The sequence below is a fragment of the Homo sapiens genome, chromosome 4 (genome assembly GCF_000001405.40).
Source record: "Homo sapiens chromosome 4, GRCh38.p14 Primary Assembly".
NCBI lineage: Eukaryota > Metazoa > Chordata > Mammalia > Primates > Hominidae > Homo > Homo sapiens.
Window position 1 is genome coordinate 113,603,803 of NC_000004.12, and position 25,633 is coordinate 113,629,435.

At 35.6% G+C, this 25,633-nt stretch overlaps 1 protein-coding gene across 53 annotated transcripts in view; it reads right to left on the bottom strand.

The window, feature by feature from the left end:
- The window catches only part of CAMK2D (calcium/calmodulin dependent protein kinase II delta), a 310,707-nt gene that overhangs the window by 152,771 nt on the left and 132,303 nt on the right, over positions 1-25,633 (bottom strand). For all 53 annotated transcript variants that reach the window (NM_001321578.2, NM_001321577.2, XM_017008674.3 and 50 more), the window contains one exon: positions 5,350-5,404. Coding sequence is in view for 48 of the 53 variants with exons in the window: in NM_001321577.2 (NP_001308506.1) it covers positions 5,350-5,404 (55 nt within the window). In the remaining 5 variants the exon portion in view is untranslated. The remainder of the gene's footprint in view (positions 1-5,349; positions 5,405-25,633) is intronic.

The following is a 25,633-nucleotide window of genomic DNA, read 5'->3' on the forward strand; positions in this document are numbered from 1 at the left end:
TTAAAACAGTAAGAAGAGGCTGGGCATGGTAGCTCACACCTGAGCACTTGGGGAGGCTGAGGAGGGAGGATAGCTTGAGACCGGAAGTTTGAGACCAGCCTGGGCAACATAGCAAGACCCCATCTCTATAATAAAATAAAATTTAAAAAGAAAAAAAAAGAAGAAAATTTTTTCATAGAACTCATGTTCTTTGTTTTGATTTTTTAGAAAGTAAAAATCATTTCATTAGAAGAAGACTCAATGCACCTATAAAAATAGAACTTCCATTAGATTCTGAATAGCTAACATTCCACAGGAAATATGTACAAGCACCACACTGCCAAAACTATCATCAAAAGGAGGAACACAAGGAACATTCCTTCTTTGGGAATTCAAGTAGTTATTTTATCTCGGAACTCATTGGGTAAGTGGCTCTAATTTTCCATGAGAGTATTTCATTGATATCTTTAAGATATCAATGTATATTTCTTAACTATATTTAAAATGTGCATTTTTCTAAAGCTGCTTACTTTTCCTTTTCATAGATTATTGCTGCAATGATCACGTAATTTTGAGAAATTAGACACTTATATCTGTTATGCTCTCTTTTCAGTCATTGAAAATGCATACTTTTAACCATTGTTTTTCAATTTTTCTAATGCTTTATTGGATTGTGTTTAGTTTATTAATCTCATTTACTGGTAGATCATTTTCAGGATAACTGCTGATAATGCTCCTCTTAAACTTTAAATACTAAAGAATAATTGCAAGAATTTGAGCCCTTCATTCTAGAGGCAGAAGTTCAGTTGCCTGTTGCAGCATATTTCAAATTACTATGGTTTGTATGTAAACTTTTACCTTCTTCACTTTGGTTTCAAAGACATTAATAACCCAAACAAATACCATTGCTAAAGACATAATCCACTTTAGTTAAAAATCTTATTCTGTTTCCATGTGAACTGCTTTCTTTATGTTCTTCACCAAATATTATGCTGAATTTCTAAAAAATGATACAAGAAAAAATAAACTGTGTGATTCTCATCATGCCCTTAATTTAATAAGGAATACAGAAGCTATAAATTTTAAAATATAGATATAAATAATTTGATGACTGTGGAAAACTGGCATAGTAGAAGGTTTTGACCTAACACTGAAGTGCTTCTTGCAGCAGAAGGAGATCAAAATATATCACGCCCAAATATGCCACTTTGGCATAAGGATTATTTTGAGCTAAAGCTAAGTGAGAATCAACAGATATAGAGAGAATTATCTGCCCTCCCTTATCTGCCTAAAAGCAGGGAATAAATTTCCCTTTAAGGAAGATGCTCTCTTTCCCCAACACCAGTGAGAAAGATTGACTCATCACAGAAGACAGGGAGTCGACAGCAGATGAGTTTGCAGAAACAGATCTTACTAAAATAGCCCTTATCTTCCATTAGCTCCTTCATATATTTACTAGTCACTTTTCCATAAGTCAATTCTCCATTATCTCTTGAAGCCCAAATTCTTTTAAGGGTATAAAAGCCTGAGCCTAACTGCTTCTTTGAGTTTCACTTCTTTTCTGTGAACTCCCATGCACATAAATATTAATACAAATTATATGCCTTGTCTCTTGTTAATCTCTCTCTTGTTTAATTCTCATGCCCCAGGCACTGAACCTAAAAGGACAGAAAAAAGTGTTTCCTCCCTGACCAAGCTGTGATCAAACTCACTTCAGAATGTTATTACTTAAGTAATGAGAACTCACAAAAGTGTTTTTTATTCCACCATTCATCATAGCATGAAGGACATATCTCAGTTTACAATACCATACCTTGATCTGCAAAACAAAGATCTGACAAATTAAATGTATTAAGAAATAACATGTCTGCTGCTTAAAAAATATGGTAGGTGTATTGCTCCCAGTAAATATAGAAAAAATAAAAATCCCTGCGTTCCAATAACCTCACCTAGCCATAAGGAACCACCACCCAGGCATGTCGGTGGAGGCTGTGGGGGGAACCTGGACTACAGCCCCCATCAGTCAGTAATAAGATGGCACCTGCTTACTCTGGTATGAGAGAAGGCCTGCTAAAGAACAGTTAGTGAAATCCAAAGTCTTATAAAATAATACCCCCAAATGTTCAGGATATAATCCAAAAATCACTCATCATATCAAGAACCAGGAAAATCTCAATTTGAATGAGAAGATAATCAACAGGCAGCAACACCAAGATAACAATGCTGTCAGAATTATCTGATACGGATTTTTAATCAGCCATAATAAAAAAATGCTTCAGAGAGCACTTATGAACACACTTGAAACAAACAAACAAAAGGGAATCTTGGCAAAGAAATAGAGGCTATAAAGAAGAAAAGGAAACTGCAGAAATGAAAAATATAACTGACATAAAAAACTCAATGGATGGGCCAGGCACAGTGGCTCATGCCTGTAATCCCAGCACTTAGGGAGGCAGAGGCAGGCAGATCACGAGGTCAGGAGTTGGAGACCAGCCTGACCAACATGGTGAAACCCCGTCTCTACTAAAAATACAAAAAAATTAGCCGGCATGGTGGCGCGCGCCTGTAATCCCAGCTACTCAGGAGGCTGATGCAGGAGAATCGCTTGAACCCAGGAGGCGGCGGTTGCAGTGAGCAGAGATCGCGCCACTGCACTCAAGCCTGAATCGCACCACTGCACTCCAGCCTGGGTGACAGAGTGAGACTCTGTCTCAGAAAAAAAAAAAAACAACAGAGGAAAGAATTAGACAATCAGACTTGAAGACAGAACAATAATAAATTACCCAAACTAAACAACAGAAAGACAACAGACTACGGGAAAACTACAACAAACAGAGCCTCAGGGACCTCTTAGACTCTAACAAAAGATCCAACACTCATGTCATCAGAGTTCCAAAAGGAAGGGAGAAAGAAGGTAGGGCTAAAAAGGTATTCAAAGAAACAATGTCCAAAAGTTTCCCAGGTTTGCCAAACAAAGATGGACCCATTCAGGAGGCTAAGTGAGCTCCAAATAAGTAAACTCCAAAAAATCCAAGCCAAGCAAGATACATCATAGACAAACCTAAAAACCAAAGACAACGAGAAAAAGAAACAAAAACCAAAAAATTTTAAAGCAGCCAGAGAGAACTAATACCTTATCTTTAGGGGAAAAACAATTAGAATGACAAAGATGTCTCATCAAAAATCAAGGAATCCAGAAGGAAGTGGCACAACATTGAAAGAACTCTCAACCTGGATTCTATATCTGGCAAAAATATCATTCAGGAATAAAGGGGAAATCGAGACAAGCTCAGAAAAAGGAATACTAACAATTTGTTGCTAGCATACCTATCCTAAAAGAATGGCTAAAGAAAGCTCAAGAAAAAAAAATCATAAAAGAAGGGACTCAAACATTGGAAAGGAAGAAAAAATAATGGAAAAAGTAAAAACAAGAGCTGAGAAAGGACTGAAGAGGAAGCACTACTAGAACAACATAGAGCCAGATGAAACTACGGCCACATGAGCAAGACATGGATGAACTGGGACTGTGGAGAGGAGCCTGTGCAGTAGGATTGTGCAGAAGTAGCGCTTTAGTCTCTATTCTAAATATGGCAGATATGCTTGGCTGCCTACCTGTCAGGCCTCTGAGCCCAAGCCTGCAGGTACGCATTAAGATGGTCTGGAGCAACTGAGGAACCGCAGGAGAGGTGAAAATAGCCAGGTCCTGCCTTGACTGATGACATTCCACCATTGTGATTTGTTCCTGCCCCACCGTAACCGATCAATTGACCCTGTGACATTCCTTCTCCTGGACAATGAGTATCAGAAGCTCCCCACCGAGCACCCTGTAATCCCTGTCCCCGCCCGCAAGAGAAAAATCCCCTTTGACTGTAATTTTCCACTACCCACCCAAATCCTATAAAACTGTCCCACCCCTATCTCCCTTTGCTGACTCCTTTTTTGGACTCAGTCCACCTGCACCCAGGTGACTAAAAAGCGTTACTGCTCACACAAAGCCTGTTTGGTGGTCTCTTCACATGGATGCGCATGACACTACCCAACAGATAAAACTCCCATTCTTTCTTAATAACAAAATCACAATTTAGTTCTGAACTGGGTATCACATGATTAAGAGGCCAGTTCCCTCACCAGATCTACAGACTAAATTATTATTTGTCAATGCCAGTTGTAATTTCATTCCCTTAACAAATACCTGGTTTAGTGTGGGCTTGAGAAGCAGTTCTAATTAAGGAATCTTGAACAGATATCTTCTGAGAGGCTCTTGAGAAAGACTTCTCCATGAATAAAAACTTATGCAATAGAATTTGGATTACCCTTTTTCTGCCTTTGGAAGTCACTGTGATAACTGAAAATGTGGTAGTCAATTTCAGACCATAGGGGAACTCAAACATGAAGACAAACCCACATAATACTAAAAACAGACAGATGGAAAGAACGTGGTTTCTTAATGATATCATTGAAGTACTGAATTAACCAAACCTAGTATTAACCTACCTTCAAACTCATATCATGTGAAATAATTTTTTAAATCTTTCCCAAAACTCTGTGGCATCAAATTAAAATGCTAGGCAGTAGTCCATTATATGAATATACTATAATTATGTAGCTATTTCTCTATAATTGGATCCTTAAGTTGGTTTCTTTCTTTTCTTTTCTCCCCCGTTATAAAGGATGATGCAATGAACATCTTTCAGCATAAAATTTTAACTGAATTTAGGGTATACTTTCCATGGACTTTGTTCTGAGGAGTAAAATTACTAAGTCAAATGATACAAACATTTTTTATTCCCTTTGATGAGCACAGTAGCACCAAATTGATTTCCAGAAAGTATGTTCTTATTAAACTCCTACCAACCATATGTGTGGCCTGTTTTACTATATCCCTGCCACTATATCCCTGCCAAGAGTCATTATTTTCCCTTCATTCTTGCTGACAGCGCCTCACTTTAAAAGTCTTGATTAGTTTAAATCAATTTTGGTAATCCAAGTTTCTTCCTTGAGTCTTCTTTTTACTTTAAGATAATAAATTATACATACTCTTAAAAATTAAATGGAAAATTTTGCTTATGTCAAACATTTTTGTGCTACAAGGTAGAATTGAGAACCACTCATGACATCACAACGGACAATGCAAAGAGAAATAACTATTTCACTTAGGTTAAGGTTAATTCAAATTAAGGTTAAATTAAATTGTAAATAAAACAATGCTGAGTAGTATCCTCTTTTCAAAAGAATTAGAGTTGAATGTTACTTGAACATTAAAAAATATTGTAGCAGTCAGTAATTTGGACTGTACAGTGAGAAAAATCATTAATTCAAAACGGTCCTCAATTAGATTGCAAAAATAATGAATACAGAGTATATACTTACAAATCAAACACCAAGTAGTGAAAGCCCTCTTCTGATATGCTATCATGAAGTCGCACTAGAAAAAAATAAGAGAAGAAAAATTGTGTTATACCTATTCCAACGATCAACGTTAAACCCCACTTCACATGGACATATGTCTCCTAGCTAGAAATGTTGGCATTACATTTTATTTTAGCCTTTGATACGTCCGTATCTTTTACAACATAGCTTGAGTTCAGATAGAACTAAGGTTTGGGTACTGGTTCTGAAAACTGGTAACTATGTGATCTTAAAAAAAAACTGCTTAACTTGTAATGATATTAGTACCTATGCTTTATAAAATGGTTGAGATTAAATGAGATAAAAATCCACAAATTTTGAGGTGAATACTAAACAAATGTTAAGGATCATTATAATATATATCCATATACTCAAAGTTACCAGGTTCTGGCAATTCTTTCACTTCCTTGCCACTCTCTTTGCTATCACCTTAGTCCAAGTCTTCACCAACTCATGCTTGGTCACTACAACAGACAGTAAGAGGAATGATTCCAAGTCTAGGAAATGGTTTCCCTGTGTTCTCCCTTTTGTCCAAGAAGTTCTAGGTGGCACTCCCTGGCCAACCTGGCAAAACACAGTTTTTGTTATGTTACTTATTTACTCAGGTCACCCAAATCCATTTACCAAGTCATTAGCCCAAAATGTACAGCTTGAACTTTTGCTAAAATAATTTACTAGTTTCTCAAATTAATGCCACTTTAAAATTTTCAATGAGCCAGACTTTAACTGATAACTCTAAACTAAATCACACATGTAGAACTACAAACCGCTGTATCTGCTATTTACTTGTTCATAAGCCCCACACCTTGTCCCAGTTATCCTTCATAGAGAGTGAATTCTTTTTTTTTTTGCTTATTTATTTTTATTTTTTACTTTTATTTTAGCTTCAGGTGTACATGTGCAGGTCTGCCACATAAGTAAACTCATGTCACGGGGGTTGATGTACAGATTATTTTGTCCCCCAGGTACCAAGCCTAGTACCCAATAGTTATTCTTTCTGCTCCTCTCCCTTTTCCCACCTTCCAACCTCTGGTAGCCCCAGTGAATTCTTCCTGTGTATCCAAATCACTTGAAGTGGTGGCTTGATCTTCACTGGGAGCAAAAGAAGGCAGGGAAAGCAACAAAGTTTTAGGACACAACTGCTTTTACAAAAGTCACCACAAAATAATAATGATTTTCTACTACAACCTGTTATGTTTCCCATGCACTGATGACCACCACATGGAAAATGTGAATTTATAAGAACATTCAGGTTATCACACAAACTAAAATTATTTATACAAGGAGACTGTAGTACTCATTCAATGCCCAGGCTCATAGACTTAACATAATCTCTGTGCTTTATCATCTAATTCCATCCCCTTTGGATCTCATTCCTGGCCTCCTATTAAAATATTTTCTGAATCCCTCTCTAGATAGATTATAGTTTGTAAAATATGAATTTTCTATTGTTATTAACATGAGGAGGAGGCCTATACTGTAGGTGACTGGGAATGCAGCCAACAGTTCAGTCTCAGACCCTCTACTTAGCTCTTGAGTGCATGAAATGTAAGCACACTGCAGTCCCCGCTGCCCTGCCACGCTTATCTTACTTGTCACAGTGCCACCCTTGAGGTCATTCATGCAGCATATTTTATCTTTATTTACTACCTTTAATACCTTTCCCTTCTTCAGTATATAGTCTCGTCACCAATACTGCCCAACAGGAACCATATTTTATAAGTCTTGCATCCCACACAGAGATCTGGCACATAGTAGATGGTCTTTCATCAAATTGTTTTTGAGCATTTACTATAGAAGGTTTTGGGATGGAAATTTTCACCAAAGATAGCTATATATATGTTATATATACACATAACACACACACACACACACACACACACACACAATGTATATAAATAAAATAAGAAGATGGCTACATAAGCAATTCTTCCATCACTTTAATGGTGTGAAAGGTATTCTTCACGTTGCCAATATCAGAGATGCCTGCTAGCCTTGCTTAAACTTATGCTGCTGAAGAATATAAAGAGTTTGGTTTGATGGTGCATCTTCTAATGATCATTTAGTACAATAAAGAAAGCTGGGCCATGGATGATAGCTCACTGGCTTCTTGAATGACACAGTTTCAGAGATATCTCACTTAGCAGCTATAATACAGTATGTATTCAAATGAACTTAAATAATGGCATGGCTTCTTAAAGAACTCATAACAATTATTCTGGAAAATAAGATGGGTTCCCATGTTATCAAAGTTAAACTGAAAAGTAAAGTCTACAATCTGACCAGGAGGAAATCACCATTACTTTCTTCCACTGTCTGAAGGTAAAAGCCTTAGGTGCAGGTGGGATCTCAGGTGTCCAGATCGAAGAGGTATACAGCTGAACAGAGGAGAATATTTCAGGTACAACTGGAGAAGTAGCAATAATTTCTGTCTATCCTGGGAATAACATTTTCTTAAAATTATTTCCATTCACTTATTAATACTAATTAATACTAAATATCATCATTCAGAAATCAATTATTTTTTGAACAAGTCAGGAGTTACTGTTCAGATGGAAACATGATAATCAAACACATGATACAAAAGCACTTAACCAGCTAACATGTGATAAGGGTTTGAGACAAATCATTCAGCCAAGTTTACTTCTTTTGCATCACACAATTCCAAAATAATCTCTAATATGTCTAACCAGCCATTTGACCATGCGAGATTATGAATAAATGTGTTATTCATATCACATATTCAGCATCATATTTACTTGGGATTAATATATACATATTTCCTTCCTTCCTTTATTCCTTCCTTCCTATGTCCCACCCTACTTCCTTCCACTCTCTTATTTTAAATAATGAACTGAAAAAACAGAATTATAAGAAATTGTCATGATTTTTACTTACTATATTAACAAAAGTAGATACTATAGTCTTCACAGAGACATTCCACATGTTCACAATTACTGTGAGGATGGGTTTGTTTCCTTTAAAAATGTTTAACTCTTCAACTATTATTCTCAGAGTTGATGGTATGTCTAAACGGTCTGGAAGATAGTGTTTTAGTTGTAGACATCATCTATTTCTCTTCAAGCCTTTTCTGTTGGTCAAAAGTATCCTTCATTTCCTATTCTTTTTTTCCTTTTTAACAGTTTCTCAAGGATTGAAAATCATGTTTACTTTTACAAAATGTTACATTAATTATTCCCTATAAATAACTGTCAATTCATTTTCACACCAAAGGAATAACACAACATTCTGTTCATCACAGCTGTTAGCTCAAGACTGACGGCATGGCTGGCCTTGACAGCACTGCAGATGCTGCATTTTGAAGCATACTGCACCTCGTTCTTTCTATGACTGCTCTGTTATTGCCATAAGCTGCACATATGAGTGGACGCAATTAGCCTAATTACAGTTGTCCCTATGACGTTTTTAGAGAGAAATTTTAAAAAAGAGAATGAGAAAAACATTTGAGAAAACAGGTTATAATACATTTTGGCAGTCATTCTTTTTGAAGTTTGCTCAAAGGTAAAATTACGTGTATGAATAAATGAATTTTCACAACCTGAAACAGCACAACAGTTCTCATCAAATTTTAAATTCTGGAACTTTAAGTATGGAATTTATAAGGGGGATAAAAGTGCTTCTGAGGCTAAAAATAGTTCCAAAGGTTAGCTGACCCATGGCCTAATTCTTTTCCTTTCTCTCCTGCATGTATTATCACATTTGAATGATTGCAGGATCGCTGCTTTCTCTTCCTGTTCTGTGTTCTTGCATTATTCCATTGCAGTTTCTAGCTAAATATTAGCTCCATAAAGAAGGGGTCAAATAGACCATGGTCCTTGTATGATCTGAGAAATTTTAATTAAATATGATAGAAGTTTTCTATTTAATTCCTCATTTCACTTAAGGGGTTAAAAGATATAATAAAACTTATGTTCTTACTGTCAGGCACAATGCAAATAATTTTTGCAAGAGTTATATTATTTAATATATGCAAGCACCACAAGGACATTTTGCCATAAGCTTTTACAAATGAATGTTCACAGGCTTAGAGGTATGGAGGAAACTTCCAGGTTAACAGCAAGTAATTGGCCTGGCTAGGACCAAAATGTAGAGTTGGATGATTCCAAAGACCTTGTTCTTACTGAGAATACTACGTGGGCTCCCTGAAACCTTTCTGTGAACAAACTACTTGCCAAATACCTGGTGGGATATGAACTGGTTTGTCAGGGTAAAATAATATTCAAAAAAAATTCAAAAGAGAAGAAATAAAAAAATTATTATGGTGACTAGAGAAAGAAAAGTAGTAACAAGTACGTAACAGACAATTTCCACAGAAAAAGAAAACCATTTTGACTGTAGGTTTAAAATGTGATGCTATAATTTTGAGGGTACAGAGGTAGCTAGATGATGTCTAGGATACAAAGCCACATTTGTCTCTCTATACAGTTCCTAAAGCCCCAGAAAATTGTTATTTTTCCACTTCAAATTAAGAATATGAGAATTGCCAGTGACTCAGCTATTTTATCTGATAGAACATTTAATGTACCAAAAATGCTAGCAAGTTGAAGAATCTGAAAGCTTACCCAACATACAAAATATCATAAATTTAAATCATTTTCATTTCCAAAAATTAACTTTCACATCATGGACATTATGATAACATGGACAAAAAGGTGTGTATGTGTGTGTGTGCGAGAGAGAGCGAGCGAGAGAGAGAGAGAGGAAGTGGAAATGAATGGGCAAGGGAGAAGAGGGAAAAGAGTAGGAAAATTAAACTCCAAGTAGAAACTGTGTCAACAGTGATTAGGTACACCTTATCCATTTTGATGACACATGTTAGAAACACTTCTGTCAAAAGAAAAGGAATATATTATTTTATTGAGACTTAATATCTTTCCTAAAAGGCTGACAGGATACAAAGTCAATGTTTTCTATTTCAGTACTACTTCTTTCCTCCTCCATTTCTTAACAGTACCCCCCACACAAAATAAAACCAAGGTTGTTAATTATAATTTTATGAAATTATTTATATAAAATATTATTTGGTTCAAATTATACTGATTCTTACTCTGCCATACAACCCAAACTCACTATCTGTTCCTCTTCACTAAAATTTATTATGGAGAGGAGGCAGTCAATTACATTGGTGGACCCCAGTGGACTATGTCTATCATTATTCATGTCCTTGTGCAGTCCCCTCCCACATTACCTCTGGGCTTGGCTATGTGATTTGCTTTGAGTGAGTAGCATGTGTGATGCAAGCAAAACCTTAATATGTTTTCTACATTGGAGCTGTAATCTTGGAAACCACTTGCTGTGCTAAAAGAAAAGATCAGGTTCGATTGGAAGACAAGAGGCCACATGAAGAGAAACCTCTGAGGATAAGAGATAATTCTGACATTCTATTACTAGCAGAGGTCATAGCTGAACGAAACTGCATGAATGACCTCAGCTACAGTAGAGCACCCAACTGACTGAATCCAGTCAACTCATAGAATTATCACAAATAATAAACTGATGTTATTTTAAGCCATTAAATCTGGGATGGGGATTGTTACCTAACAATAGATAAATAAACAGAAAAGACTTAATCTGAAATGTGTGATTGACCACATTGTCCTCAAATACGTTTTTCAATATCATAAGCAAATTTAGCAGAAAAAAAGAATGAGTCTGACCTCAGAAAGTAAGAAAGAATTAGTAAAAATTCTAAAACTGAGCATGGTAGGGCAATGCTGCCAATATTATCATGATACTAATAGAGTAATTCATACAGAACAGATTGTATTATATCCTCATAATCATTGTTTGTCAGCTCTGAGTAATAGTCCTGGTTATTAATGAGGCAGAATTTGCATTTTTAGCTTTGCTGTGTTTCAAAGATTGAGGTAGTTGGATTTGGTTCACATACTGGGATGCAAAAATGGCAGCTTGTAAGTCAGATCCTTTTTATATTCCCATCAGTAGTTAATTATAATTCATAGCTAAAACAAGCACTAGCCAAGTTAGGCCATCTAACACGCCAAGTCTACCCCAAAAGAGGGAAGCCAACATTAAGTTCATTTGTAAATTAAAAATAATAAATATATACATATATGTATTAATTTTATATCTACATACACTTTTTTCAATATTACATTAAAAATGTAAAAACACACACACTAGTATTAGAACATTTTAACAGTCAAATTACACTCTCTGGAGAGAAATTTCAGCTCAACCATTATTCTCCTGGCTTTATTTATGACAAAGCTGCTCACTTCTAGAGAGAAAACTTTTCAAATAGAAAACACAAAAGCACTGAAAACTAAGTTCAAAATCAAACTAACACTTCTAGAAAAGTGAAGCCAAATCTCTCTATGTGGTTTTTTAAAAAGTATTTCCTATAACACAAGTAATACAGTTAATAAAATGACACCATTTGATTTTCATTTTCCCAGTATAAAATATATTAACTTGAGTACATTAGAAAAAATATATGCTGTTTTTTTGAAATAGAGATGTTCATTTTTAAAACACTGAATAGAAATATAGACAGGTATAGATACATATTAATTTTTATGTTGTTATTAAGGTCAAGAGTCCTACATAGCATTTATACTTTGTCTTTTTTTACTTGTTTTAACATGAAACTTTAACATTTGAGCATAAAAAATTGGGAGTTTGATTAGCTGGCTAAGGCAAACAAATGAAGTGGTCAGGCTTAGAAGCCACAATCTGTTCTAATTTTAGCTATTTGAACACATAAAGTTACATAAGGGATATGTATTTTTGAAAAACTATTTAGCAATATGCCCCATTTATAAATGCCAAATAAGTAATTATTCATCACTCAAAAGTTAAAATTAATTTCTATATCAGAAATTGAAAAATTATAGTAAAATTTCAGATATTCTTCCTGTAATGACAAAAAATCTACCTTGTAAACTTAATATCAACTAAAATTAAATTATATTTCAAAGCAATTGACTGCTTACACTTAATAGGAATGAAAATTAACTTTTTAAAATAATCAAATGTAATTATTATATGAAAACTTCATAGGGAATGCCATCCATATTACTTTAAAAACTATTCTAAAAGTACACAAAGAAAGTTACTGGATCCCAAGATAAGTCCTGAAGGTCAAAGCATATCAACTCTGGTGACTATGGTCTCCATCCTTATTCCCAAATCCTCACCCCACTCCTGATTCAAGATTAAAAGCCAAGTTTAGATTATCTTCAATATCTACAGGATCAGATTAGTATAATAGCATTCAGTACTGACTAGAAGAAATCATTATGCCTTTTATAAGCCAGCACTAATTAGAAGCCTAGATAATCCAACTGGGTTTCTGATGGGTCAAAATAGTTATTACCTGGGAGAATTTCAACCTGGGAAGAAATTAGAAAGTGGGAGATATGATCAGTAACTGTTGACTGTATGGGTATCAGCCACATCTATCACATGACACTACAAACAGCATGAAAGAACAATCAGTTCTTTTGCTTGAAAGAAAAACGTCATCAATGGCTAAATATAGAAGCTCAGAGAAGACTAAAACAATATAAAAGTAAATAGGTAATTCATGTAATACTCTGTCCTGCTCATTTTTAATAAAAACATAAATTTAAGGGTAAAGTAAATAATAGATTTAGTAATATCTGGAAACATTCTTTGTTTTCTTTGAAAAATAATTTGAGATTATCCTGTTGTATATTTTAATTGAATAATTCCATTCTGCTTATTTTGTTTTCTAAAAAGGTAATTTCATTTCTTGGAAAAGTTGATACTCATTTCAAGAGTATTGAAACAATAGTCATTTATATAGAAAAATCTTCCTTCCCTCTTTAAATTTTGCATTAATATCATTTGTTTTATGAATTTTGATTGGTGATTCCAACTTTCCTTTCTTCTTGCCTTATGTTTTTGTTATTCTATCTTCCACTATGTATTGCAAGTTAGTCAGTGATCTCTCATCAATATCCTTAGCCATTAGGAATATTAAAAAAGGGCTGGGTGCGGTGACTTACGCCTGTAATCCCAGTATTTTGGGAGGCTGAGGCAGGCAGATCACTTGAGGTCAGGAGTTTGAGACCAGCCTGGGCAACATGGTGAGACCCTGTCTCTATTACAAAAAATTAGCTGGGTGTGGTCACCCATGCCTGTAGTCCTAGCTACTCATGAGGCTGAGGCAGGAGAATCGCTTGAACCAGGGCAGCGGAGGTTGTGGTGAGCTGAGAAATCGCCACTGTACTCCAGACTGAGCAACAGAGTGATACCCTGTCTTAAAAAAAAAAAAAAATCAAAAAAGAAGAGAGACATCTGTCGTGGTCTATCTTACTGTACTCTCTGAACCTTATCAGAAATTTTGATGATTATGGGAGAAGTAAGGGAAGACAGACAATATATGGGAAAAGCAAAGGTATTCCTGAGAAGGCACATCCCTTGCTGATGAAGAGTTGTTACTTCTGTAAGGAAAAACAGAACAATTTTTTTTGTTCTTAATTTGAAATGGGGTCTTGCTATGTTGCTGAGGCTGGCCTCTTGAATGCCTGGTTCAAGCAATCCTCCTACCTCAGCCTCCAGAATAGCTGGGATTACACAAACACCACCATTCCTGGCTAGAAGAAACAATTTTTAAAGGAGATAAAAAATAACAAGAATAAAATCAAACATGGTGAAGTATATTTCACATTAAAGGTAACTATTGCTTTGTGAAACTTTTGCTTGGGTCATACACACACACTCACACAACACACAGACACACACACATATATATATATAAAATATACACTGGGCCATGATATAAAACATTTTTTATACTCTAGCTCACAGTAAGTAATACTTGATAAGCACTGGATTAGATGATCCTTTAAGAAGATCCTATAAGATCCTTTCTAAGTTTTTACATTTCTACATTCCTGGATGAATATGGCTAATAAATAGTATAGGAAATAAACAATACAGTAATTACCAATACAAAGCTGAATATGATTCTCTAAGTGTAAGAGTTTTCTCTCTTCAACACTCTCGAGTTAAAGTTTAAAACATACTTCATTTTATTTTGGAATTGTTTTTAATGAATAACTAGAGAGAAAACATAGAACATTTATCTTGCCAAACCAAAAATATGCTCTTCAAAAAATTAACCGAGCAGATGAGCTGCTTTTATAACACTAGCCCCTGGAGAATAGTAAATGGAAAATCTTATTAGATCATCTTCTCTTTGTAACTTACTACCATATTATCTTAACACTTGCAACTGTATTTTCCCTAGAGACTCATTAGCCCAAATGCTCTCATCTTTCAATTCCTTTTTTGAAAATTCATTTATTGCATTTTTCCAAAGTTGATATGTCCTATAAGCAGGAAATCTGTGAGTTTAAAATCCTAATACATGTTAAGAAATGCAATATAACTGGCTTGTAGACATATTGTACTATAATATTATATTATCCAATAACATTTGCCTCTATATATCTATTTTTATGATGAAAGCACTTAAAATATCAGTTTATTTCTCCTGGATAATACATGCAAAAGAAGTACATGAAAAATACATTCTGTAATCTTAGGCTCACAATCTGGGAAAAACATGGGAGTTATTTATGAACTTGCTCATGAATTAGATGCCATGGGAATAATGAAGAATACTAGTAAATATAGCTGCAGGCACCAGTCTGCATCTATCAGGCACCTAATATATTTTTATCTAAGCCTTCGAGAGAACAGTTAGTTCAGCCTAGGTCAATGATGTTTCTAAAGTAAAGAATAATTATCTATTTATCATGAAATCAAGGAAGTTATAATGAATGTCAGACATCTCAAACGTGTGGTGCATTTGCTTGTTTCACTTATCTCATAGACATCTCAAACCAAACAAGCTCAAAGAACTCGTGATCGTCCCCCTAAAACCTGCTTCATCCATGGTCTTCCATCTTTCCAGTTGCTCATAAAAACCCCAAGGTAATTCTTGACCCTTTCTGTGAAAGCAAAATCTAATCTGAAAGCAAATCCTTCTAAATATAATAGGGTGAGATGGAATATACATACATATATAGAAAATCTGACCACTTTTCATCTCCTCTACTGTTACAAGCCTGATCTATGGCAAGTCCAGTAGCCTCCTATCTCATTTCTGTGTTTCTACCCTGCCCTCTCACTGTCTTTACCACAGCAGCCAGAACAATCCTGTTAAAACTTAAATCTGATTATTGTCCTTAGGTTCAGAATCCTCCAATGGCTCTCCACTTACTGTCTCTGAGTAAGAGCCCAAATTCCATTCATGGCCTAAAAGGTCCCTCGCTCCACCCTCATTATCCCCCTAACCTCTCCTACTACTCATCCCTGGCCCATTGCACTCCAACTTCATTGGCATCCTTGCTGCTTCTGGAGAACTCCAGGCAAGCTCCTGTCTCAGAGCCTTTGCACTTGATGTTTCCTCTGCCTGGAATTATTTCCCCGATATTCACATGGCTCATGGCCTCATCTGTTTTAAGTCCCTAAGCAGCTTTTCAGAGTATTCATTTTTGTAAATACAGATTTTTTTTTGGAACATAGCCACATCAATTTGTTTACGTATTATCCATGTTGGTATAAAGCTAGGATTTCATTGTTTAATAATTGCAACTAAGACATGTCCAGAAAACTGAAAATACAAACCCCTTTACAGAAAAAGTCTGTTGACCGCTGGAGTAGAGGGTAAGATTGCTGAAAGAGAGAATATAGGTGCTGAGAGGCCGGAGTTTGGCATGCATAATCTATGTGGCTAAGTAAAGCCATGAAGAATGATGGCAGAAGTGGAAAGGAGAGAACGTAGTAAGTCAGTTACTATATAATACAACAAATGATGGGAATCACCAAGAGAATGATAGAAAACTGCTGCACTAAGAATGTAGGATGTTATAATCTAAAAATGTGTTTCTCAAAGATAGGGTTGGGTAAGGATGGAGGTAGGGGATATTGAAGGAGGAGGTGTTAACTATGGTCTTATAAAAGCAGTGAAGAGCGAGAAAACATCTGTCCATCCCTTGGTTCTGTGGTGTGTAGAGGCCCAAGAAAACAGCCAACACCTCCAGGTGCTGCAGATAAAGCAGCTCACTCGAGAGTCAGACTGCAGTCAGCACAACAATAAATGAACAGAGATTATTAGAGAACAGGGGGCAGTTTGCAAATATTATGATACTAGACTTATTATTGTACAATTAAAGGGAAAAAGAAAACTAATGAAAAGTGTGAAAAGTTGGCAACTTTCTCACAGTCTAGGCATTAACCAAACAGTTATTCAAATTGCTTAAGATTCAAACTTGGTAAACTTTCTTATTTTTTTACAAGAGTTTTTTTTTTTTTTTGAGACAGAGTCTCACTCTGTCACCAGGCTGGAGTGCCCTGGCATGATCTTGACTCACTGCAACCTCCGCCTCCCAGGTTCAAGCAATTCTCCTGCCTCAGCCTCCTGAGTAGCTGGGACTACAGGCGTGCACCTACATGCCCAGCTAATTTTTGTATTTTTAGTAGAGACAGGATTTCACCATGTTAGCCAGGATAGTCTCGATCTCTTGACCTTGTGATCTGCCTGCCCTGGCCTCCCAAAGTGCTGGGATTACAGGCGTAAGCCACCACACACTTCTATGAGCGATATTTTTAAGTAAATTATATTTTTAAGAACCAAATTTAAGAAATATAATTTTTGGTATTTTATTACTATTATATTTCCAAAGGTTCTAAATCTTATTAAAGTGTGATTGTGATTTTACATATTTTTTATTTTTTGGAGACAGAGTCTTGCTCTGTTACCCAGGCTGGAGTGCAGTGGTGTGGTCAAGGCTCACTGCAGACTCCAACTCCTGGGCTCAAGTCATCTTCCCATCTCAGCCTTCCAGTTACTAGAGGCACACACCACCACACCTGGATAATTTTTTGTTTTTGTAGAGACGAGGTCTCACTACGTTGTCTTGGCTTGTGATTTTAAGTGTTTATGCATATGTCCTGTATTTATAGCATCTGAATTATTTAGAGAACAATCAATAGTTACTCTGATTTTATTCACTCATTATATAAAGATACTATATCTTCATACTTGGTCTGAATATGCATTTTAATTAAGTTTTCTTCCTAGTTCTTATATGCCAGATGAAATACTGTAAAAAATGAATAAAGAAGATACATTTTAAATGTTCTCAATAAAAACACCCATATGACATTAATTCTTTTTCTGATGAAAATTGGTTTTGCCACCTCTATTCTTAAGCAAACTATTTTGTCAAACTGTCCTTCAACCCTGAACAAAAAAACATTAATAGAAAATATGTTCCAAGATTCTTGGAAAATATATTTACGTCTATATTCTTGACTAGAGTCTTCATTCAGAGATTCTAAGCCAATGGGATAAATGAGTAGCTTCATGAATAGTTGTACCTAAGATTTTTAAGAAGACAGAGCACAGTATTATAAGAAATAAGGTTCTGGGAGGGTTCATTCTTTCAGTCACTCAGCAAATTTTCTTGAATGCTATTTGCTGGGGATATAACTGTGAACAAATCAAGGAATGGTGATCTCAGCACTCATACAGTCATTAAGACAAAATCCTCTCACTAATTTTGTAATTCTGCATTCTGGATTATTGGCTTTGCAGCTAAGGCATATCCCATAAAGCATGTTTCATTTTACAGTCTTCTCATTATCCACGCCCAGGGAAGCACAAGAACACAATATAACTATGTGGCAAACAAATCTAACAAGTCATAGGTTTTAACTAAATGAACTACGAAATGTCTTCATCTATATGGGGCTACTAAATCAACAGTCTTTATCCACTGACAAACTCATTAAATCAAACAACATACTTTTCTGATTTTTCTTTTTTTTCAAAATTAACTTGCTATTGAGAAAGTTTAACAAATTGTTTAACCTGAAAGACAAATTTCCTGGTAAACAACCATTTAACATCCCCTGTGTCTTTGCCTCAAATCCATTACCAACAAGGCAGTCATCCTTTCAAAATGCAAATCTGATTATATCACACTTGACTAGTTTAAAATTTGTCAACCCTTCCTATTAATTTTATGTTGAGGAGCAAACTTCTTAACGTGACCCATTTATCATGTATCATCCAAACTGGGACACTCTGAGAGTGAAAAGAGAGTGATTAATTTTTATACCAGTAAACCAGGACAGCCCCTAGAAAAGAGGTTAGTGTGGCTATCCCACCCACAAGGCCCTACCTCTTCAAATTCCTTCACATTCTCCCTCACTGTTTCCCCTCCAGCTCCCTCCAGCAGGCATCTTTGTTAGGAAAAAAATAATATAGCTGGGCACAGTGGCTTATGCCTGCGATCCCAATGCTTTGGGAGGCTAAGGCAGAAGTATCGCTTGAGCCCAGGAGTTCGAGACCAGCCCGGGCCACAAAGTGACGCCCCATCTCTACAAAACATTTTTTAAAAGCTGGACGTGGTGTTGCATGCCTTTGGTTTCAGCTACATGGGAGGCTGAAGAAGGAAGATTGTTTGAGCTCAGGAGCTCAAGGCTACAGTGAGCCATGTTTGCACCACTGCGCTCCAACCTGGGTGACAATGAAACCCTGCCTCAAAAATATATAAATATGTATCTCCATATTCAAAACCTGCAAATGGCCAAAAGAACACATGTCCATTGAATGACATGATGAAACACTGTTTAACTGACTCACCTGAGGATTATCTAATTCTCTAGAATAGGTATCTTTATTTTGTTTTATTTGCTATTGATTAGGCTTTAATCAGGAGTCTGCAAACCATGGTCTGTGGGCCAACTTGGGATAGGAGAGTGTTTTTATATAGTCCATGAGCATAAGGATACGTAACAGAGAACTTACATGGCCCACAAAGCCTAAAAAATTTACTCCTTTACAAAAAAAGTTTGCCAACTTCTGGATTAAGAAAACTGATGATGCTGAAAATGATTCTCAAAGGTTATACCCTTGTTGCCTGTAAAGCAATAACCAGTTTAGTTTTATGGCAATTACATCCTAGCATTCTTTTTTTCAGTGACTATGCATATTTCTGTTACTCCTACACTTTTTTGAACTGGCTTTGGCATCTTGCTAGTTCTCTCATTAGTAAAGTATTCTGTGATAAGTATTTTATAAAAAATAAAATATAAAGTATTTTGTAAATAAGTAATAATGACTACAGATTAATGATGATCAATGATCTATCATGATGTGTATATACACACACACACACACACACCCACACAGACACAAACACTTATAGCATGTGTCACTTAACTACAGAGATACATGCTGAGAAGTGTTGTTAGGTGGTACTGTTGTGCAAACATCAAAGTGTACTTATACAGACCTAGATGGTATAGCCTACTACACACCTAGCCTATATGGTAGTGTATTTCTCCTAGGCCACAAACCTGCACAGTATGTTACTGTACTGAATAAGCAACAACTGTTAACATAATGGTTAGCATCTGCTTATCTGAGCATAGAAAAGATAACAGTAAAAATATGGTATTATCTGACCATCATCAATGCAGGCAGTCTGTTGTTAACTAAACATTGTTATGCAGTGACTGTGTGTGTGTGTGTGTGTGTGTGTTATGTTTTAATTAGTAAATATATCATGTTATATGAATGTACCATTATCTATATAATCAGTCTTCTGTGTAAGGACATTTGAATTGTCTTCTGTCTCCTGTTCTTCAGCCCTATCACTCTCACTCACCCTCAAGGAGCTTCTCATTGTGTATTAAATATGTATACATCACCGAGCCAGGATTTCAAGGTCTTCTTTGGTCCAGAAGTATTTAACTGATAATCTATTGTTTCTGACCTCTGAGATCCTTTCCTGGAATGCTGCCTACTCCAGTCCCTACCATAGAAGCCCTACTCTTCATGCTTAAATGCCAGGTGCTCACAGTTCATGGCTCAATGGAGACTTTCCTTCTATTTTCTGTAGTTCTTGGAGCCTCACTTCTAGTAAATTTAAGGAAAATAGGAGACTCAGTCAATCTTGAATAAGTTTAACCGCCTTGGAAGTAATACATCCTAAGATTTGATATGTAACAGGTAAAGAAAATAAAAAGTATGTCAAATTTCCATCCACAGCCAAGATGTACCATGGAAAGATGTCTTGAATATAACTTCTACAAAAAATAAGCAAGCAAACTTGAATCTTTTCAATCACCTTATAACATGCTTGGTATAAGATAATATTTTTGCTAATTGGCAAAAAAATAGACAAATGGAAAATAAGTATTTGCTGTTGTACTTACATGCCTTAATCAGTTACAATGAACATTCTTGCTCACTTGGCAGGAACGGTGGGCATATTCCTTTGCTCTGACTTTATATATATTAAGTAACTTTCTGTTCTTAACTTGCCTTCTTATGTGAACTTTCATACAAGTGAGACAACACGTGAGCAGTAAACACAGTAGTACCCTAAAAGGAACTGTAGTCTGCAAAATCTGGTGGTGTATTTCTGGTCTCTGTATTTACTGTGGCTAGTATATTCTGGCATACATAAGAAACTGCGTTGAAGGAATAAATGGATTGGTGTATCAGTGGGTTGTTTTAGGCTGAGTCAGTGTCTTAAACCAAATCATCTCTGGTGAATGATAAGCCCATAATTTTGTAATTAGAAAATAAATGGAAAGTCCAAACTTTAGACACATGGTAACCTATAATCAACAAATAGGCACCATAAGAATTGCAGAGAAAGCTGACTTTCAACTTTATACAAAATTTAACATCCTTTTAGCTACAATAATAGTTATCCAACCTTGCATTGTTCTGAAGTTTTGTGTATGTCCTTGATAGAAGCAAAGTCTTCTCTTCTTTCTGACCAAGCACATGGAATCAGTTGGAAGAGACCACCTGCCTAGTCAGCCAGATGTCTGGTGATCAATGGAGCAGATACAGGAGGTAGCAGCAGGATCAGACTTATCTTCTAGTTACATGTACATACTTCTTTAATTCATGGAATGTTGAAGACAGGGAGCAGGCACTCAATAAATAGTCATTGGTGATAAATTCCTTATTCTTCCAGTGAATATTTATTGAGTTCCTACACTGGGCAAAATATTATAGGTACTAAGAATAAAGCATGAAACAAAATAACGTGCCTGAGCTCACAAAGTTTATGTGCAAATATGAGAAGACTGATCAATATTAAGCAAATATGTAAATATATACATAGGAAATTGATAAGTGTTCTGAAAAACAATAAAGCAGGGTAAGAGGGAAGTGAGTACCAGAAGAAGGGAAAGAAAGGGTATTTGGGAAAAGCATCACTGATAAGGTGAATTTTAAGGAGAGACCAGAAGGAAATGAATAGTGTAAGCCATGGAGATGCCTCAGGGAAGACCATATGGAAGATAGACAAAAGCAAATACAAAGATCCTATAGCAAGACTTTACTTGACCAGTTTGAGAAACAGTGTGTCTGTAGAAGAGTGAACAGGGGAGAAGGCAGTAGAAGATGAGATCAGAGGTGTGAGTATCGGGGGTGTGAGTATGAGGGGTTATACAGAGCCTTGGAGTATGCCATTATTAAAGGCTTTGGCCCTTCCTCTGAGCTAGATGGGAATTCACTGTAGAGTTCTGAGGAGAGGGTGATATGCTCTGCTTGTTTTAAGAACACATCCGTGACTGACGTGTTGAAAATACACTGTAAGGAAGCAAAGGTAGAAACACAGAAACATGCATGTAAAAAGTCAGGTGATGTAATCCCAGCCACTCTAGAGGCTAAGGTGGGAGAATCGCTTGAACCCAGGAGGTGGAGGTTGTAGTGAGCCAAGATTGCACCACTGCACCCCAGCCTGGGTGACAGAGTGAGATATCATCTCAAAAAAAAAAAAAAGTCAGGTAAAAGATAACAGAGTTTCAAACCAGGGTGGTGACACCAAAGGTACAATGAGATCAGATTCTGAATACATTTTGAAAGTAGAGCAGACAGGAACTGCTGAGAGAGTGGGATGTGAGAGGAGAGGAGTAATGAATGATGTCAATGTCCTCAGTAACTGGTATACTGGAATATATGAAGATGGAGGTGTAACAGGTTGAAAAGATGGAAGTAAATTGGAAATGCCAAATGTATCATCTAACGGAGAAATCAAGAAAAACAAATTCATTCTTTAGTGGATGAAATCTACTCTTGGCCTACCTGAATATACCACTTTAAAACTAGGTATCAGAACATTACATGTTGTGTTTGAGAGCAAGAGCTCTAAAGCTGCATGAATGTTGTGTACTATTGTTATTATTAAATTACATTAAAGGAAATTGTTATTAAACATTTGTTTTAAATTCTGCATTAAATAAAGTTGATACATTTGTTATGAATAAATATTACATGAAATAAATCCTTTCATACTAGGCAGTTATTTTACCATGTGGGACAATAGGGTTTCAGAGAATGGATAGCCCAAGGAAGAATAGAAGCACTTGACTGGATCAGGAAGTGTTGGTTCAGGCCCTGACTACCAATAGCTTGCTCTCCAATCTTGGCAAAGTAGACAGCGGATCTGGACCTCCATTCCTTGCAGGCAAATAGAAGGGTTCAGTTAGATGGGACTCAGCTGTTTTCTTCAACTGGAACAATCCACCAGCATCTAACTTTAAACAACATTTCTCGTAATGATGATGTATAATTCACAATGTTTTAAAAAAAACTCTCTTCAGTGGAGATTTAGGATATTGGTTAAGAAGGGCAATTTAATTTCGCGGTATGATGAATCAGGCTCATATAATCCAGAGACCAGGGAATTCAGACACAAATTCAACATTTTACTTAGGTTCACTTTTATTCACTATACAAATGAAGAATTAAGATTTTTCATAGAGATTTGTAAAAATGTTTTTTAAAAATAGGCTTGTTTTATACATGAATAAAGCAGCAAATTATTACATGTAAAATTCTTATTATTTCCCTTTAATCATTGACTGTCCTATGATGCTCTCTTTGAAGTGAAAAAAAGCAGAGAAAAAATACATTTGAAAATAATGATATTATCCTATTAATGCCATTAATGGATGGTTGCATCTCTATATAGAAACGTGTTCCTCTATAAGTGAAGGTTAATTTGATTCTTTCAATTTATATCATTTTTCCATTACATTTCACTGTAATAAATTTTGGACTTCTTAATACAGGTGATTCTTATTATCTGCAGTAGTTATGTTCTATAAAATCATCATGAACATTGAATGAGCAATATACTAAACCACTGTTCCTGGGGGAAATACAGGGTTAGTTTCCTGCAAGCCCCTAGTCACAACATTTCTGTCAACTAATCAATATATAACCTAGTTTTATGTGTGTTTCTGTTTAAAGAGATCTTAACTGATACACATTGTTGATTCATTGACATTGAACCCACAGTAAAAGGCATTACAACTCATGCATGAATGAAGCTTATCTAACACACAGATATTTTCCATAAGGCACATCACAACCTTCTTGAGCTTAGGAACTCTAGACAGCACTGCAGCTTTATATTTGGGGACCATTTTAAACAGGAAAATTAGCAAGGAAAAGCACCAAAACATGGCATTACATAGATGGTGAAAAGGGCATTTGCTTAGTGTTTATAAAAGCTTAAACAAGAAGGCAAAGTGGGGCCTTATTAGACCTTAGCTGGGTACACACATGCACACAATGTGACTCAAACATCTTGCTGCTCTGCATGTCTGTGAAGGTCCACGAGTGACCACCAAAGGGCTTCAAGTACAGATGGGATTACAAATAAATTTTCCAAGAGCAGGCAAACTTGCAGTTACAGAAACCACAAATAATGAAGATCAACTGTATTTATTTCTTATCAACTGATCATGGCTCTTAGCCCTTTAATTATATTTATCTGCTCTTTAGAACTACTATCAAGATAACTGTTGATTAATAAACACACTTAACTGTAGATGAGGAAATCAAATCTATGTGGTTAACCATTCATGAAATTTTTAATAAATCAATTACCACCTAATCAATCTACTTTATAAGTTTGCATTTTGTAGATACGACCTTTCTAAATATTTAATATTGCATGAATTATAAACACTACTAAAAGAGTATCTACAAATTATGACACTGTGTTAGAGACTACATTAGCAAATTACACTACAGTTTATAACCTACTAGAAGATTGGCTTCCATTCAGGAAAGGAAATAAAAAAGAAATAGAAAAGGAATAAGAAATATAGCCTTGTTAATTTTAAAAAGCAATCTTTAATATTAATATAAGCTATAATTAACATTAATGTGAAAATTATATTTAAAAATGCGCAGTAAAATCAGAAGTCTGGGTGACCTTTCTTCTGGATTCCTGCCGTGAAACAGTGAAGTTTGAAGTGATTTTGTTATCTATCATACTCTCTGATCCTCTCAAAGGACTTATCTTTCCTGGTACAAAGCCTCTGGGCATTAAAATTATTCATCATTTCATGACATATTTGGGGCTCCCTGGCAAAAACAGCTCTCTGAAGATGATGCACGTAAATAAAACGGGTATAAAAGAAAGTCTTGTATTATGTAATGAAAAATGAAAAGAATGCCCTGTTGATGGTAAAGGTAATTTTTTTTCCTTCTTTTAAGGACAATAAAATCATAGAAAATAAAATGATATCAGTATCATTTTGGAAAAGTTTCTATTTTTAATATCTCCTAAACAAAAATGCTTTTGAACTAAGTTGAAGGTTTGGCTGAACAATCTGTGAACAAGAAAAAGAGCTGCTGTACCTGGTCCTCTTGCTTCAAGTTGCCAGTAATACAAAGCCAAACTGCACCAACAATGCCAAGCTCAGTTGGAAGAACATTTCCACCAACGTAAATAATATTTATTTCTAGAATTGAACAAAATACCTAAGCAGTAAAATATATATATATATATAACTCAGCAGTGCACTGGAATTAAGGGACTAATGATTTTTATCTGCAGCATATTCCCTCAATTATATAATTCATTAAACACAAAGAATAATGAGGAAGAAACTGTGCTAAGTATCAGGCTGAACAGAACTACCCATTGGACAGAGCCTCGGAAAACCTTTTAGAAACTACTAATGTAATTAAATCATCTGAACAAACAAATTTGTATCAGAAACTCCAAGAAGCTAAGGTAATAACAATTTCTGAGCAACCATTTTTGCCATAGTCAATTTTGAAAATCAAAAATAGACTCAAATTTTTTTAAATACTTTTTTAAGGAAACATGGCATTAACTGACAAAAGGTAAATTTCTGGTTTTTAAACTTTTTAAAATAAGAAATAACT